Here is a 14271-nt window from a genome sequence, read left to right as displayed (position 1 = left end):
ACACTCTAGGTTGGACGTCTGCCCAAGCCTTGCAGGGCACTGCAGGGCTTCCACTTCTCTGTGCTTTCAGGAAGTGCTCCTGTTAGCTCAACACCGATCTCTGGAGCCAGAGTCTGGACCAGGTGTGGCCAGTCTTTGGATTCCTGTCTTGACCAATTCTGGACATTTCTGACGGCCCATTTCTTTCTTTCTTTTTTTTTTTTTGAGATGGAGTCTTGCTCTGTCGCCAGGCTGGAGTGCAGTGGCGCGATCTCGGCTCACTGCAACCTTTGCCTCCCGGGTTCAAGCAATTCTCCTGCCTCAGCCTCCCGAGTAGCTGGGACTACAGGCGAGTGCCACCACGCCCAGCTAAGTTTTGTACTTTTAGTAGAGATGGGGGTTTACCATGTTGGCCAGAATGGTCTCGAACTCTTGACCTCATGATCCGCCCGCCTTGGCCTCCCAAAGTGTTGGGATTACAGGCGTGAGCCACCGCGCCCGGCCTTTTTTTTTTTGAGACGAAGTCTCTCTCTGTCGCCCAGGCTGGAGTGCAGTGGCGTGATCTCAGCTCACTGCAACCTCCGCCTCCTGGGTTCAAGCGATTCTCCTGCCTCAGCCTCCCGAGTAGCTGGGATTATAGGGGCATGCCACCACACCTGGCTAATTTTTGTATTTTTAGTGGAGACGGGGTTTCACTGTGTTGACCAGGCTGGTCTCGAACTCCTGACCTTGTGATTCACCCGCCTCGGCCTCCCAAAGTGATGGGATTACAGGCGTGAGCCACGGCGCCCGGCCTCTGATGACCCATTTCCTATGTGCACACAAACACAGACTTGGGGCAGCTATTCCGAGAAAACTCTCTTAGATCTTTTCCATTTTTTTTTCTATTTTTGTTTTTGCAATTGTGGTAAATGATACATAATAAAATTTACTACCCTTTCCTGCAGATCACATGGGACAGAGAAAGAAATGAAAAATAAAACAGCAAAAAAAATTTACCATAGTAACCTTTTTTTTTTTTTTTTTGACACGGAGTTTCGCTCTCGTTGCCTAGGCTGGAGCGCAGTGGCGCAATCTCGGCTCACTGCAACCTCTGCCTCCTGGGTTCAAGTGATTTTCCTGCCTCAGCCTTCCAAGTTCTGGGATTATAGGCATGTGCCACCATGCCCAGCTAATTTTTTTTTTTTTTAACTAGAGACAGGGTTTCACCATGTTGATCAGGCTGGTCTTGAACTCCTGACCTCAAGTGATCCATTTGCCTTGGCCTCCCAAAGTGCTGGGATTACAGGCGTGAGCCACCATGCCCAGCCCATCATAACCATTTTTAAGTATGCAGTTCAGTGATGTTAAGTACACTTATATTGTTGTGTAAATATCACTGGTAACTATTGTTTATCTCCAGAACTTTTCTCATCTTCCCAAAATGAAACTCTGGCCCATTAAACACTAACTCCCTATTCCCTCTCCTCTTAGCCCTTGGCACTCACCATTCTACTTTCTGTGTAAGAATCTGGCTACTCTCGGTACCTCCGTTAAGTGGAATCATATAATATTTGTCCCTTTGTATCTGGCTTTATTTCATTTTGCATAATGTCTTCTAGGTTCGTTCATGTTGTAGCATGTGTCAGGATGTCCTTCCTTTTTAGGGCTGAATAATATTCCATTGCCTGGATATACACGTTGCATTTATCCATCTATCTGTTGGTGGATGCTTGGGTTGTTCTTTTCCATGTGTTGAGTGATCTTGGTGTAGAGGCCTGTACTCACTATGGCTTCCTCTTGTTGACCCTCCATTATACACCCCTTCCCCATCTCTTTCCTTCTCTCTCTCTTCCTTCTCCAACATTTGGTTCATTTGTAGAGAGTCTGGTTGAGTCGTGTAAAGCCCAGGAGGTCCTGCAGTGGGTGGGCAGAGCAGGCATGGGGGAATCTGGCTATAAATAGAGGTGTGGGTAATCAGGCAGGCCATGTTTGGTGGCCTGTTAGGGGAGTGGGCCCCCAGCCCTGGGAAGTGGGTTTAGAGTCAGGACCATGGGTCATCTGACACCTTGTATGGAGAGAAAAGCTAGGGACCATGTTACTAAAAGAGGGCACAGCTCTGGTTCAGGTGAGGTTTTTTTTTTTTTTTTGAGTCAGAGTTTTGCTCTTGTCGCCCAGGCTGCCAGGCTGGAGTGTAGTGGCATGATCTCAGCTCACTGCAACCTCTGCCTCCCAGGTTTAAGCGATTCTTTTGCCTCAGCCTCTTGAGTAGCTGGGATTGCAGATGCCCACCATGCCCGGCTAATTTTTGTATTTTTAGTAGAGATGGGGTTTCACCATGTTGGCCAGGCTGGTCTCAAACTCCTGACCTCAGGCGATCCTCCTGCCTCAGCCTCCCAAAGTGCTGGGATTACACGTGTGAGCCATTGCGCCCGGCCTCAGGTGAGGTTTTGAGCAGAGAGGAACACGTCCTGAATGAGGGGATGTGTCTGTAGAGGAGGTCCCAGTTCTTCCCTCTTGGGTTCCCACCCTGTGCTCACATTGATTCTCCTCCCAAAGCTCCCTGCCAAATTCAGGCCTCATGCAGACCCAAACCCTCCTTAACCTCTCTTTAACCCCATGAAGTTAGGCAGAGTCTTTTTTTTTTCTAACTAGGATGTCTGCAATGGGGTCTTGCGTGAGGAGAGAGATTGAACTCAACTCCCACCCTGACCCCTTTTATTTATTTATTTATTTTTTTTTTTGAGACAGAATCTCGCTCTGTCGCCCAGACTGGAGTGCAGTGGCACGATCTTGGCTCACTGCAAGCTCTGCCTCCCGGGTTCACACCATTCTCCTGCCTTAGCCTCCTGAGTATCTGGGACTACAGGCGCCCGCCACCACGCCCAGCTAATTTTTTGTCTTTGTTAGTAGAGACAGGGTTTCACCGTGTTAGCCAGGATGGTCTCGATCTCCTGACCTTGTGATCCACCCGCCTCGGCCTCCCAAAGTGCTGGGATTACAGGCGTGGGCCACTGTGCCCGGCCCCGACCCCTTTTAAACAGTTCTTCCAAACTTGAAAAAGGACAGAGGAAGGAATTTAAAAATACAAGTAGAATAAAATTTCTAAGGTATAGGTTTCTGCAGCTTAAGGTCTCAGTAAAGGCTATGGAACTCCTACCAGATCCCAAGTCTTTTTTCTAAGATAATCACCTCCTCCTCCTTCCTCCTCCTCCTCCTCTTCCTTTTCTTCTTCTCCTTCTTCTCCCTTCTTCTCTTCTTCTTTTTTGAGATGGAGTCTCGCTGTGTCTCCCAGGCTGGAGTGCAGTGGCATGATCTTGGCTCACTGCAGCCTCTGCCTCCCGGGTTCAAGTGATTCTCCTGCCTTAGTCTCCCGAGTAGCTGGGACTACAGGTTTGTGCCAACACACCCGGCTAATTTTTTTTTTTTTTTTTTAGTAGAGATGGAGTTTCACCATGTTGGCCAGACTGGTCTTGAACTCCTGACCTCAAGTGATCCATCCGCCTCGGCCTCCCAAAGTGCTGGGATTACAGGCGTGAACCACCATGCCCGGCCAAGCACCCTCTACTTCTGAAGAACTCTTCTACCTAAAAATTCTGTGCCTACCTCCTTTCTCCTCACTGCTGTCCTGCCCCGCAGGCCCTGGAGCCAATCTGCTTGTGCACCTTGCTGGCCGCAGAGTGGGCTCTTGGCTGAGGGGTGGAGAGTGCAGGCTCTGAGTTCTTGCTGCTGGGACCATACTTTGGCTGTGTTCCTTCCCCACTGTGGCGCTTTGGCACTGTTCCCCAGTCTCTGCAAGCCTCGTCTACCATTTCAAAATGGGATCATAAAGGACTGATTTCGTAGAGTTATTATGAGACTTAAGTGATATAATATATTTAAAGTGCTAGGTGCCTGGCATCTAGTCATAAAAGCTCAATAAATGTTTGTGGGGGGAAAAAACTCCTTTGGATTAAAGATCTTTCAGCCCCTTCTGTTCCTTGAGGTTCTCTGCTTCCGGTTCCCAGTCTAAGGAACTGGCTGGCAGGAATGACCCAGTGAATGATCCAACCCTTTCCGAGCTCAAGATTTCGGCATGCCCACTTCCTGCCTATCCTCTGAGGACTTGCTGAGGTGGGGAGGAGGGGTATGGACAGAGGCCCACAGCATTCTGCAGCTGGGCTGGGGCTGCGTCACAGAAGCCTCTGAGCCTGGGGGCCTTTGTCAAGCAGTTTTTGCAGTGAGTGAGGCCGAGCTTCCAGCCCAGGACTGCTGCTCGTCCTCCTGAGCCTGCTGCAGGGCACAAGGTGGAGGGGCCCACACAAGGTGGGGGGCCTTCTTGGCAGAGTCAGGATGTCCCTTTCTGGCCTGTGGCTTTTCTCCATCCTGCCTTCCCTTGATTCCCAGGCTCCATCTCAGTGAATAGTCGCAGCACGCCGTTCTTGGCCACTGGAGACAGCGAGATTCTGGACCTGGAGAGTGAGCTGTACCTGGGCGGTCTCCCTGAGGGGGGCCGGGTGGACCTGCCCCTGCCCCCAGAGGTGTGGACAGCAGCACTCCGGGCAGGCTACGTGGGCTGTGTGCGGGACCTCTTCATAGATGGGCGTAGCCGAGACCTCCGGGGCCTGGCTGAGGCTCAGGGGGCTGTGGGCGTTGCCCCCTTTTGCTCCCGGGAGACGCTGAAGCAGTGTGCATCTGCCCCCTGTCGCAATGGGGGCGTCTGTCGAGAAGGCTGGAACCGCTTCATCTGTGACTGCATCGGGACCGGCTTTCTTGGGCGGGTCTGTGAGAGAGGTGAGGCTGGTCTTCATCCTAGGTGTCCCTGCTCCCTATCCCTGTGCTCCTCCTTCTCAGGGTGACTCCTACTTTCCATCCCTGTGCCACCTCCTCCTAGGGGAACCCCTCATAGACCTGCCCTAGGCTTTTCGCCCTTGTAATGATTCTCTGGTCTTCTCCCTCCCCTGGCCTCTGCCTGTCTTCTCCTTCCCTCTTCCCCAACTCCTGTGGGCAGAGGCCACGGTCCTGAGCTACGATGGCTCCATGTACATGAAGATCATGCTGCCTAACGCCATGCACACGGAGGCAGAGGATGTGTCCCTGCGTTTCATGTCCCAGCGGGCCTACGGACTCATGATGGCCACCACTTCCAGGGAGTCTGCCGACACCCTACGCCTGGAGCTGGATGGGGGGCAGATGAAGCTCACTGTCAACCTCGGTAACCACCCTGCCCTGTGCTTCCTGACCCCTCACCTGGCCTTGTCTCTGACCCACACCTGCCTCTGTCTGGAGAAGCTGGTGGTGGCACCAGCAAGAGGTGCCCTCAGCAGAGTTTGGAGGTGGGGAGGCGCCAGCCTGGGTCAGAGACCCTGAGAGCTCTGTCCCTGGTGAGGACGCACAGTGTAGGGCGACATTCCATGCTCGACGACACTGTGAGGGGCAAGACCCAGAGTATCTGGGGTATGCTAACTGTCCTCCCTGGTGACTCATGTGGATCTTGGTAGCATCTGTCCTGCACACACACAGATGACACAGCTCATTTTTGGTCAATGGCTCATCCACTTGCTCATTCATTGGTTCATTCATTTGAGAAGCACTTGCTGACGCCTAGTGGGTGCTAAGCCTGAGCTCAGTGTGGTGGCAGATACAGAGATGAGGAAGGCCTGGTCCATGCACGCAGCTGCCCCCCACTGCTCTGCTCAGTCTAAACAGCAGTCTGTGTGTTGGTGTGTGGAGGTGCATGTGTGTACACTGGACACACAGACGTGCCATCTTCCCGTTTCTAGTGCCATGAGCTTTCACATTTGAGCCTCATGGCTGTCCTGTGAAGACACTAGATCACCAAACAAGCATTACTGTCCCTGTTTTATAGATTATGAAATTCATGTATTGACTTGTTCAACATTACAAAACTAGTGAAGGCAGAGGGAGGAGCCAGGACTCAACCTGGGCCATTTGCCTTAAAATTCAGTGCTTTTCCCATTGCCTCGGACAGGGCTGCTGACCCTCCCCCTCAGGCCACTCATGCTGACTCATGTCTCCACCCATGCCCAGGGTTGAGAGCAGGCCTTGACTCCACTTCACCTGGTGGTCCCCGGGGTGTCCATGAGGGCCAGACCATGAGCCTGTTAGGTTCTTCTCACGGGCTTCAGCTCTCCTAGTCAGGGCAAAAAGAAAACAGCAGGTTCACTCATTCAGCTATTTATGGGACACCATATAAATGCTAGGTATGTTCAAGCCAGGGGCTACAGCAGTGAATAAGCAGTCCCCACCCCTTTGGAGCTTTCAGAGCAGGGGAACCCTGGGAATGAGAGGTCCTAAGCTGTTCAGGCTGAGGTCAAATCTGTCCATTTCAGACTGGCCTCTAGAAGCTTATAAAGGTGTAGCACCAGCCGTATAGGAAGCTTGCAGGTCATCAGGGTCACTTGTTGTATCCTGGACCTAGAGGGGAAGCAGGGCTCTTCTGAGCAGGTTAGAATCCTCGACTGGAGAGAATACAGAGCTTTGACCATTTTTTTTGTTTTTTGAGATGGAGTCTCGCTCTTTCACCCAGGTGGGAGTGCAGTGGCGTGATCTGGGCTCACTGCAACCTCTGCCTCCCGGGTTCATGTGATTCTCTGCCTCAGCCTCCCGAGTAGCTGGGATTACAGGCACCCGCCACCACGCCTGGCTAATTTTTGTATTTTTAGTAGAGATGGGGTTTCACCATCTTGGCCACGCTGGTCTTGATCTCCTGGCCTCGTGATCCACCCGCCTCGGCCTCCCAAAGTGCTGGGATTACAGGCATGAGCCACTGTGCCTGGCTGAACTTTGAACTTTTAAATACTCATCTGGAGTCTCATCCTAACATTGGTCTCCGGGGCATTTGTGGGACAGACTGTGGCCTTTGGGGAACCCATTGCCTTGTAAATGTATTTATACTATGTTCTTTCCTTTTCCCCTTTTGGCCACCTGGCCTTTGTATTCCTAGGACAAAGATTTGCTGAGAGAGGTGGGGACTGGAGGTGGGGAGATATGCAGGTGGCCAGGGCCTCAGAGTTGTTTGAAGGGTTCCCCTCAGCTCTGTTTCTAACCACGATCACAGCCTGTAGAGCGGGTGGTGTGCAGCAGCTCTGCAGGGGAAAGCAGGCTGGGAGACACTCTAGTCAATGCTCCACAAGTCTGCACAATGCTCCCTTGCATCCCTGAAACTGTCACAAGAGGATAGCCCCAGCCAAGGACCCCATAAGTGGCTCTGTACTTCCAAGTCTGCCCAGATTTGTGTATCCAGTGTGAGTTCCCCCCTACTTTGCCTGGGCATATGTGTGTTGTCTGCATCTAAACACATGTCTCTGTGCTTGCTGGGGACACAGCAGGAAAAATCTGGGGCCTTGGATCTGCAGGGAAGGCAGATGCATTTTGCTTATTTGGACTGTCCTAGGCCCCTGGGAAGAAGATTGTGTCTCTTAAGATTAGACAGGAAACAATGTCCTTGGTCAGGAAAACCTATCCTGTGGGCCCTTGGGACCCACCCTCTCCTCTCCATGGGCACACTTTTCTGTCTGTGCCACATAAGTGCTCAGAAGTCAGATAACAAGGTGGCCTCTTGGAAGACACATCATGTTAAGAATAGGCTTCCCAGACTGACAGATAACAGGACTCTCCTCCCACCCATTTCTTACTCCTGGCTGTGCCCCTGCCCCCATCTGTAGACATGTGTGTGCTGAGATGCCATCTCTAGCATGACTCCTGACAATCTGTGACCAAAGGCTTGGTGCAAATGCATCCGTCTACAGATTCCTCCTCTGTAGGCACTGTGGACACGCAGGTGGCCCCTACCCAGCCACCAAGCCTTGGGTTGGGATGGGAAGAGTTCTGGGCTCCGGGCCAGAAGACCTGGGGCCTAACTTTGGTATCTTTTACTGTTGGGTAAGTCATTTCCCATCTCTGAGTCTCTCTCTCTTTTTTTTAATCTTTAAAATGGAGATAAGAATCTTCACTCTGCCTACGTCTGTGGTGGTTTTGAGGCTCAGATGGAAGAATGGGAATGAAACCATTGAAACCATTGTGTAGATGCAAGACCCATAGTAGAGACCCACCCAGCCTTCTTGAAGGAAAACAAAACCATATTGGAATAGAGACTTGAGTTTGGAGCCAGGCCTGGGGGCCACTTCCACATAGCATGGACAGACTGGAGTTGTCCTCTACTAGGTGTGCCCATGGGGTCCCAGCTGTCAGTGCAGCTGATGGGAAAAGTGCAGTGTAAAGAATCTCTGAACCACAAGGCGTCACCTCCTTCAGCCTCCTGGCCCACGTGAATCACTTCAAGAGCCCCATTCCTGTCCCCCATTGCTTGCTCCCCAGGACTTGCAGGGCCTCACAGACCGGCAGCAACACCAAGGCCCCAGGCCTGGGCTGGACTCACTACTGGGGAAGAGAGAGAAGCCTGGTGAGGCTTGGTCTCTGGCCTCATGATCTTATCCTGTAGAGGGAAGCTATTGCTCCAGGAGGCAGCTCTGCAGCTCCACAGGCACTCAGTGGATTGAAACAGGCCCCAGGCTGGGCCTGAAGAGGGAGCGGAGGCTGCGGGTGACCACTAGGTGGGATCGCTTAGTGCTAGCCTCAAGAGATGGGATATTTGCTAGATAAGAGAGGGACAAAAAGGCACTGCTGCCTCTTTCCAGGCAGAGGATCCTAAGGAACTTATCGTGCCTCCTGCTGCAGCTTCCCAGCCCCCACTATGTTTGCAAACACTGAGCAAGTTCCTTGAGCTCTGCTGTCTGCAGCCCCTGAGTTGGGGAGTTGATCTCTGTCCCTAGAGGATGGTAGAGTCCCCTGGATTCTTTGCCCTATCCCAGCATGGCCTGGGCCCCTCCCTGGAGGGGAGGAGAGGACAGGCCAGGCTGGGCACTGTCCTCTACTAGGTGTGCCCCTGGGGTCCCAGCTGTCAGTGCAGCTGACCTGAAGGGTGTGGTGTAATTAAAGAATCTCTGAGCTGCAAGGGGGTTACCTCCTTCAGCATCCCTCCCCACCCCATGAATCACCCATACACTCCCTACCAGTGGGAGGCCTTCTACCTCCCACCTCCAAGATCCATTCTGATCATTGAGTGGTTCTTTCTTAGTGTCACCCTGCCCTTCTGAAATTCCCACTTATTGTGAAATTCCCACTTATTGTGAAATTCCCGTTAGTTCTGCCCCTTGGAATCAAACGGAGAAATCTAACTCCCGTTTGTGTTTTAAATCAGGCTAAATACACATTGTATCCCAAAGCCCTTTAATCCCTGGGGCCATGGGAGGGTACATTGCCTTTCCACCTGAGGCTGATCAGTAATTATCAGGGGGGCTGCTGGGAGCCAGCTCTGAAGGAGGGCTATGACAGAGTGCATGCTGCCACTCTGTGATGTCACTTCTGAGACAGATGCCTGGGAGCCTTGGGCCCACTGTCTCCAACCCACAGGGCCTGGGCGGGGAAGGAACCCAGGTGAGGCAGGGCTGGGAAGCCAGTGTTCTTTCCCCTGAGTTCCTTTCCATGCAGACTGCTTTGTCTTACCTCCCCAACACGTGTTCATACTACGACCCTGCTCTCTCTGTCCAGCCAGGGCCTTCGTGGGTCTGTGCCACGAAGACCACTCACTTCTGCCTATTCCCTGCACTTGAGGCACAGGTCACTAGTTAACAGGTTACTAGTTAGTGCCCCCTGAACTTTGGTGAATGTGTATGTTGAAGAGGCTGGGTTTCTCCTGCTCACTCTCAGTCTCTGGCTTTCTTCTGGATGGGGCTGGCTTCCCTCTGGGTGCCCATCTTCAAGTCGTTTGCTCTTGCAAACCCTACTGGAGCCTGTGTTTCTGAGGGTGGAGTCTCTGCAGGGGTGGGCCTGGAGCTGACACCTCTTCTCTGGACAGATGGACCCCCCATTCCTGGTGCTCCCTTGCTGGGGAAGGAGAAGAATCAAGCTCCTTCTTTGGGTCTTTTCCCCAGTAGGGGACCTGCTTGCCCATCCAGCCTCCCCTTTTTTCTTTTTTTGGACCCTTCATTGGTGAAGACTCTGCTGGCCCCGAGAGAGCCCCCGTGACCTGACTCCAGGGCCTGGCACCCTTCTACCCTCACCCTAACAGTCCTCCCCTTCCTCTTCTGTCCAGCCTCCCCTGTCCCCTCTGTGCAGCCGCTCCTTCCTCTGCTCCGTTTTCTTCCTCTTTTCTCTCTGCACTCTCTCTACCTCATTCCTCTCACTGAGACTTCTCACTTCCCTCTGTGTCTGCCTTTTGACCTTTTTCTGCTCCTCTGCTCCTCCCTTGGTGCCAGGCTGTGGCCCAGGGTCCTGGCTGCTCGCCTCCACTCTTCTGCTGCGGTTGACAACGCGTGTGGAGCTCAGCTGTACTGCCGAAGGGCCGTGGCCCTCAAAGCCACAGGGGCATCAGTTTACCTCCACTGCAGGAACCTTCAGGGGCCCAGGGGATGCAGCTGCCCACCCCCTTTGCTTCCTGGGCTGTGGGGTAGGCAGAGCCTATTTGGGGTGGAGCGACAGGAGGCCAGGGTATTGGGCCTGTCAATCGAGGGCCGGGAGACTGCCCCTCTCTGAAAGGCAAAGCCAACCCAGTGTCTACCTGCTGCCTACTTCCTGCTCAGGATCCTACTGTTATCCATTCCCTCAGCTCACATGGAGGGAAGCTGAGGCATGGAGAGAAGTGCTTTGCCCAGGGTCACACAGTGAGTTAGTGAGTGTTAGGGTGGAGATGAGGACCCAGCTCCCTTGCTTCCCAGTAAAGGATTTCTGCAGCTCCAGCCAGTCCCCTCCCTTGGGCTGCGTCAGGCTTGGCGTTTGATGGAGTGGTGCAGACATCCTAAAGGCCTTAAATCTGGACTTCATAGGACCCTGGTCCACTGTTCCCTCTGCAAGACCTGACTGGCTCCCACCTTTGGGTGGTGTGTCTAACCAGAGGGATGGCCAGAGGCTTCAGGGCCCTGGGCTGCTGGCTCTGTGTAGCCACACGGGGCCTTCCCAGTCCTGAAATCAGAGGATAGCAATGCCAGGACCGGACTGGGGCAGGGGCAGGAAACTTTGCTTATGGTGGCTGCTTGTCCCCAACTGCTTTGTGTTCTCAGAGAAATCATATTTTGGGGGCTGCACTGTCTCTATCTGTGAGGCCTTGGCTCCTCTGACTAGGAAAGCAGGTTAATACTAGGTCCTCTTCAGGGTGAAGGACTCCCATGATCTATCCCCAGTAGCAGCCTGGCATTTCCCAGGATTGGAAAGGGTGGAAGGAAGGTTCCTGTAGGGGTGGTACTAGCCACTGGGGCTTTGGGAGGTGTATGGCCTCGGGAAGGGGGCCCTGGGGCAGACCCCTCCATTTAGCTCAGAGCCCAGAGGGGAACAGGGAGTGACAAGTCACACCTGGGCTCTGAGGAGGGAGTCGTCCCAGAGCAGGGGATGCAGGGATTCTGGCTCTCCCCACCCATCTCCCTCCCAGAGACAGGGGAGATGTGGGGTTGGTCAAGCCCTCGGCCCCCATTGATCCCCTGTACGACTGGGATTCCCAAGGTGCCCGTCTCCCTCAGACACTAGAGGCCTGGTACCCTCTAAGAAGGGGGCCACAAGCCCTCTTCCCATCATCTGACTGCCCTGCCTTCCAGCTCTGGGGAGGGTTGGAGCCCTCTTGGGGGCAGGAGGGACAGGGGTCCAACTGAGGAAGGGAAGAGGGCACCTGGGCACGCGTGGTCCCCGGAAAGTGGCCCTGGGGGGAACCCCGCCCGCAGACACCCCTCCCTGTGAAGGATGTAAAAAAAAAAAAAACTTGTTTTACCTTTTTGTCTCCCCTTCCCCTCTGCCCGCCCCATGGCCCCCCCAGACTGCCTGCGCGTCGGCTGCGCACCCAGTAAGTGGCTTCCCTCTTCTTCTGCAGAGACCCAAGGGGACTGGGATGCTGGACGCTGGGATTTAGGGAGGGAGGCTGGGAGGAAGAGAAGCCGTGATTGCTGGCTCGAATGGGGGTTGGGCCTTGAGTGTGGGGAGGGGTGCAGGCAGGAGGGTGAGGTTGGGTGGTTGTGGAAGGCAGGAGGGACCAAATGAAGCAGAGCCAAGGAGAGCTGGGGGAGGGCCTGCAGTCAGGATGTTCACTGGGTCTAGGAAGGGAGAGACAAGGACACCCTTTACCCAAGTCAGCAGGAGGGTGGGGAGGAGGTAGAAATCAAGGGCTGGGGCAGAGTCTTGGGTAGCACCTGTGGTCCTATGGACTGGCAGGGAGGAGCCTGAGAGGGGCTGGAATACGCTGCTGCATCTCCAGAATTGGCCACAAGGGGGAAGGCGAGGGATGCAGGAAAGAGGATGAGGGTGGGAAGGGAGCCCTCTTCAGCTCCTGTGTTAGCTGGGGTGAGTTTCTGCCAAATGGGGGCTCCTTCTATGGTGACAGTGAGGGCTCTCAGCAGGGGTGAGATGGAGAGTGAGCAGGTGGACATCTCCAGACATCCCAGTGCGCCTGGGCTCAATGCTGTGTCTCAGGGTGTTTCTGCATGGTGTGGCTTGGGGTCACATGGGGGAGCACATGCACGTGGTAGGCCCAGGCAGAGAGACTGTGTGTGCTGGGCGCCCTGCTCTTCATGTGTGTGTGGCATGCTGTGTGCGTGCTGGAGCCCTCGGGGTGGGGGGGCAGGGATGACCAGAGAGTGCTGCAAAGTCCAGCAGCATTTGAAAGATAAGTATGTTTTGTTTTAGACTCTGGAAGCTGATAATCCTGGTCTTGAGTAAATGGCCATAGTTCCTAAGAAACAGAACCTTCCCCTCTCTGGCCATCCTGCATATTTATGGGCAGTACGTGTGGTGGCGTGACTTGGTGTGTGACGTTAACCAGGCATGTGTATGTAGAAAGGTCCCATCGGGTCCCATTGTAGATGGAGGAGCTGGTGTCTGTGTAACAGAGGCCGAAGCTGTGGGCTCGCATTTACATTTGGGTACTGTGTGAAGTTTTGAAAGTTTTAGGTCTGTGTTTACACCCTGGGAATATAGCTTCTGGCCACACTCACTGAAGGCCCTTAGGAATCTGGGGGAAGAGTATGTTGGTCATAGGTGTGGGTGTCTGTGTGCAGGGCCTCAGGGTACAACTCCAGAGGCACCATTCACTTAATATTCTATGTGCATGGCACCTCCTAAAGTCACACAAAGGGCAGTCCTGAGAGTGGATGTATGACTGGGGTATAAAAGCTCTGCGTGTGCATGGACTCCAGGTGTGATGGGAGGCTATAAGTGTGTGTACTTGTATTCATGGGTGTGTTGCGTGGCCAAATATGAGCCACTGGTCATGTATGTGTTCATGTGTGGCATGTGCGGGGATGGGGAGGCTGTCTGTGTATCCAAGGTGATATAGGAAGTCACCTATGAGCATGTATAGGTGCCCTCCTCATTCCCCCCTTGGTGCCGCAGGTAAAGGCCCCGAAACGCTGTTTGCGGGGCACAAGCTCAATGACAATGAGTGGCACACGGTGAGGGTGGTCCGGCGTGGCAAGAGCCTGCAGCTGTCTGTGGACAACGTGACTGTGGAGGGTAGGTGGTCTGGGCCCAGGGAGGTGGACACATCTCCAGTGACCTATGCTTGGCCCTGTTCTACTTGGTGACTACTGCCTGGGCTGCCATTCCTAGGGCAGTGTTCTGGCAAGCTGCCTCTGCCATTTCTCCTTCAGGGGTGGAATGTTATGGGCATCTGGACCCCAGGAACGATTTCAACTCCCTGTAGGCAGCATTCCCCTGGCAGCCTGTTGGCTCTTGACTGGCGAGTCCTGCCACTCCTCTTGGAGCTGTGCTGGCTGCTAGTGCCTAGCCGAGGACATCTCTAAAGATGTCACTCATGGGTGGCCCTCCTGTGGAGGGGAGGCTCCTGGGAACCCAAGCCCCAGCCCTGCCCCAAAGCCATCCCCCTCATCTTGGTCTCCTGTCCTGAGCAGGACAGATGGCAGGAGCCCATATGCGGCTGGAGTTCCACAACATTGAGACGGGCATCATGACGGAGCGGCGGTTTATCTCCGTGGTGCCCTCCAACTTCATCGGGCATCTGAGTGGGCTCGTGTTCAATGGCCAGCCCTACATGGACCAGTGCAAGGATGGTGACATCACCTACTGTGAGCTCAATGCTCGCTTTGGCCTGCGTGCCATCGTGGCCGATCCCGTCACCTTCAAGAGTCGCAGCAGCTACCTGGCACTCGCCACGCTCCAAGCCTATGCTTCCATGCACCTCTTCTTCCAGTTCAAGACCACGGCCCCTGATGGGCTTCTTCTGTTCAACTCGGGCAACGGCAATGACTTCATTGTCATCGAGCTGGTCAAGGGGTGAGGGGCTGGGGATTGCACTGCTGTCAAGGAGGTGGCCCC

The 14271-nt window shown here is 53.9% G+C and overlaps 1 protein-coding gene across 7 annotated transcripts in view, besides 8 other annotated features; it reads left to right on the top strand.

The window, feature by feature from the left end:
- NRXN2 (neurexin 2) overlaps nucleotides 1–14271 on the top strand; it is a 117024-nt gene that overhangs the window by 57714 nt on the left and 45039 nt on the right. For 6 of the 7 annotated variants that reach the window (NM_001376266.1, NM_001376265.1, NM_001376267.1 and 3 more), the window contains 5 exons: nucleotides 4345–4731; nucleotides 4949–5152; nucleotides 11762–11788; nucleotides 13330–13449; nucleotides 13848–14229. In NM_001376266.1, the coding sequence (NP_001363195.1) occupies nucleotides 4345–4731; nucleotides 4949–5152; nucleotides 11762–11788; nucleotides 13330–13449; nucleotides 13848–14229 (1120 nt within the window). The remainder of the gene's footprint in view (nucleotides 1–4344; nucleotides 4732–4948; nucleotides 5153–11761; nucleotides 11789–13329; nucleotides 13450–13847; nucleotides 14230–14271) is intronic. The other variant, NM_138732.3, reaches the window with a different exon arrangement.
- Nucleotides 4796–5995: an enhancer, noted in NCBI's record as "P300/CBP strongly-dependent group 1 enhancer chr11:64426961-64428160 (GRCh37/hg19 assembly coordinates)". NCBI's record gives its function as "activates an origin of replication core promoter dependent on BRD2, BRD4, P300/CBP, MED14 and CDK7 cofactors, with strong dependence on P300/CBP, by STARR-seq in HCT116 cells {active_cell/tissue: HCT116}" and the evidence as "EXISTENCE:reporter gene assay evidence [ECO:0000049][PMID:35650434]".
- Nucleotides 4796–6455: a biological region, named in NCBI's record as "P300/CBP strongly-dependent group 1 enhancer GRCh37_chr11:64426961-64428160".
- Nucleotides 5788–6455: an enhancer, noted in NCBI's record as "H3K4me1 hESC enhancer chr11:64426501-64427168 (GRCh37/hg19 assembly coordinates)". NCBI's record gives its function as "activates a minimal SCP1, AML or CMV promoter by ChIP-STARR-seq in naive H9 embryonic stem cells {active_cell/tissue: H9 hESC(naive)}" and the evidence as "EXISTENCE:reporter gene assay evidence [ECO:0000049][PMID:30033119]".
- Nucleotides 7806–8305: an enhancer, noted in NCBI's record as "H3K4me1 hESC enhancer chr11:64424651-64425150 (GRCh37/hg19 assembly coordinates)". NCBI's record gives its function as "activates a minimal SCP1, AML or CMV promoter by ChIP-STARR-seq in primed H9 embryonic stem cells {active_cell/tissue: H9 hESC(primed)}" and the evidence as "EXISTENCE:reporter gene assay evidence [ECO:0000049][PMID:30033119]".
- Nucleotides 8306–8807: an enhancer, noted in NCBI's record as "H3K4me1 hESC enhancer chr11:64424149-64424650 (GRCh37/hg19 assembly coordinates)". NCBI's record gives its function as "activates a minimal SCP1, AML or CMV promoter by ChIP-STARR-seq in primed H9 embryonic stem cells {active_cell/tissue: H9 hESC(primed)}" and the evidence as "EXISTENCE:reporter gene assay evidence [ECO:0000049][PMID:30033119]".
- Nucleotides 10298–10457: an enhancer, noted in NCBI's record as "active region_4906". NCBI's record gives its function as "activates an Ori minimal core promoter by ATAC-STARR-seq in GM12878 lymphoblastoid cells {active_cell/tissue: GM12878}" and the evidence as "EXISTENCE:reporter gene assay evidence [ECO:0000049][PMID:35858748]".
- Nucleotides 11419–11919: an enhancer, noted in NCBI's record as "H3K4me1 hESC enhancer chr11:64421037-64421537 (GRCh37/hg19 assembly coordinates)". NCBI's record gives its function as "activates a minimal SCP1, AML or CMV promoter by ChIP-STARR-seq in primed H9 embryonic stem cells {active_cell/tissue: H9 hESC(primed)}" and the evidence as "EXISTENCE:reporter gene assay evidence [ECO:0000049][PMID:30033119]".
- Nucleotides 13262–13761: an enhancer, noted in NCBI's record as "H3K4me1 hESC enhancer chr11:64419195-64419694 (GRCh37/hg19 assembly coordinates)". NCBI's record gives its function as "activates a minimal SCP1, AML or CMV promoter by ChIP-STARR-seq in primed H9 embryonic stem cells {active_cell/tissue: H9 hESC(primed)}" and the evidence as "EXISTENCE:reporter gene assay evidence [ECO:0000049][PMID:30033119]".

This window comes from Homo sapiens, chromosome 11 (assembly GCF_000001405.40).
Source record: "Homo sapiens chromosome 11, GRCh38.p14 Primary Assembly".
NCBI lineage: Eukaryota > Metazoa > Chordata > Mammalia > Primates > Hominidae > Homo > Homo sapiens.
Note: the sequence above shows the minus strand (reverse complement) of the source record. Positions and strands in the feature narration are given on the sequence as shown.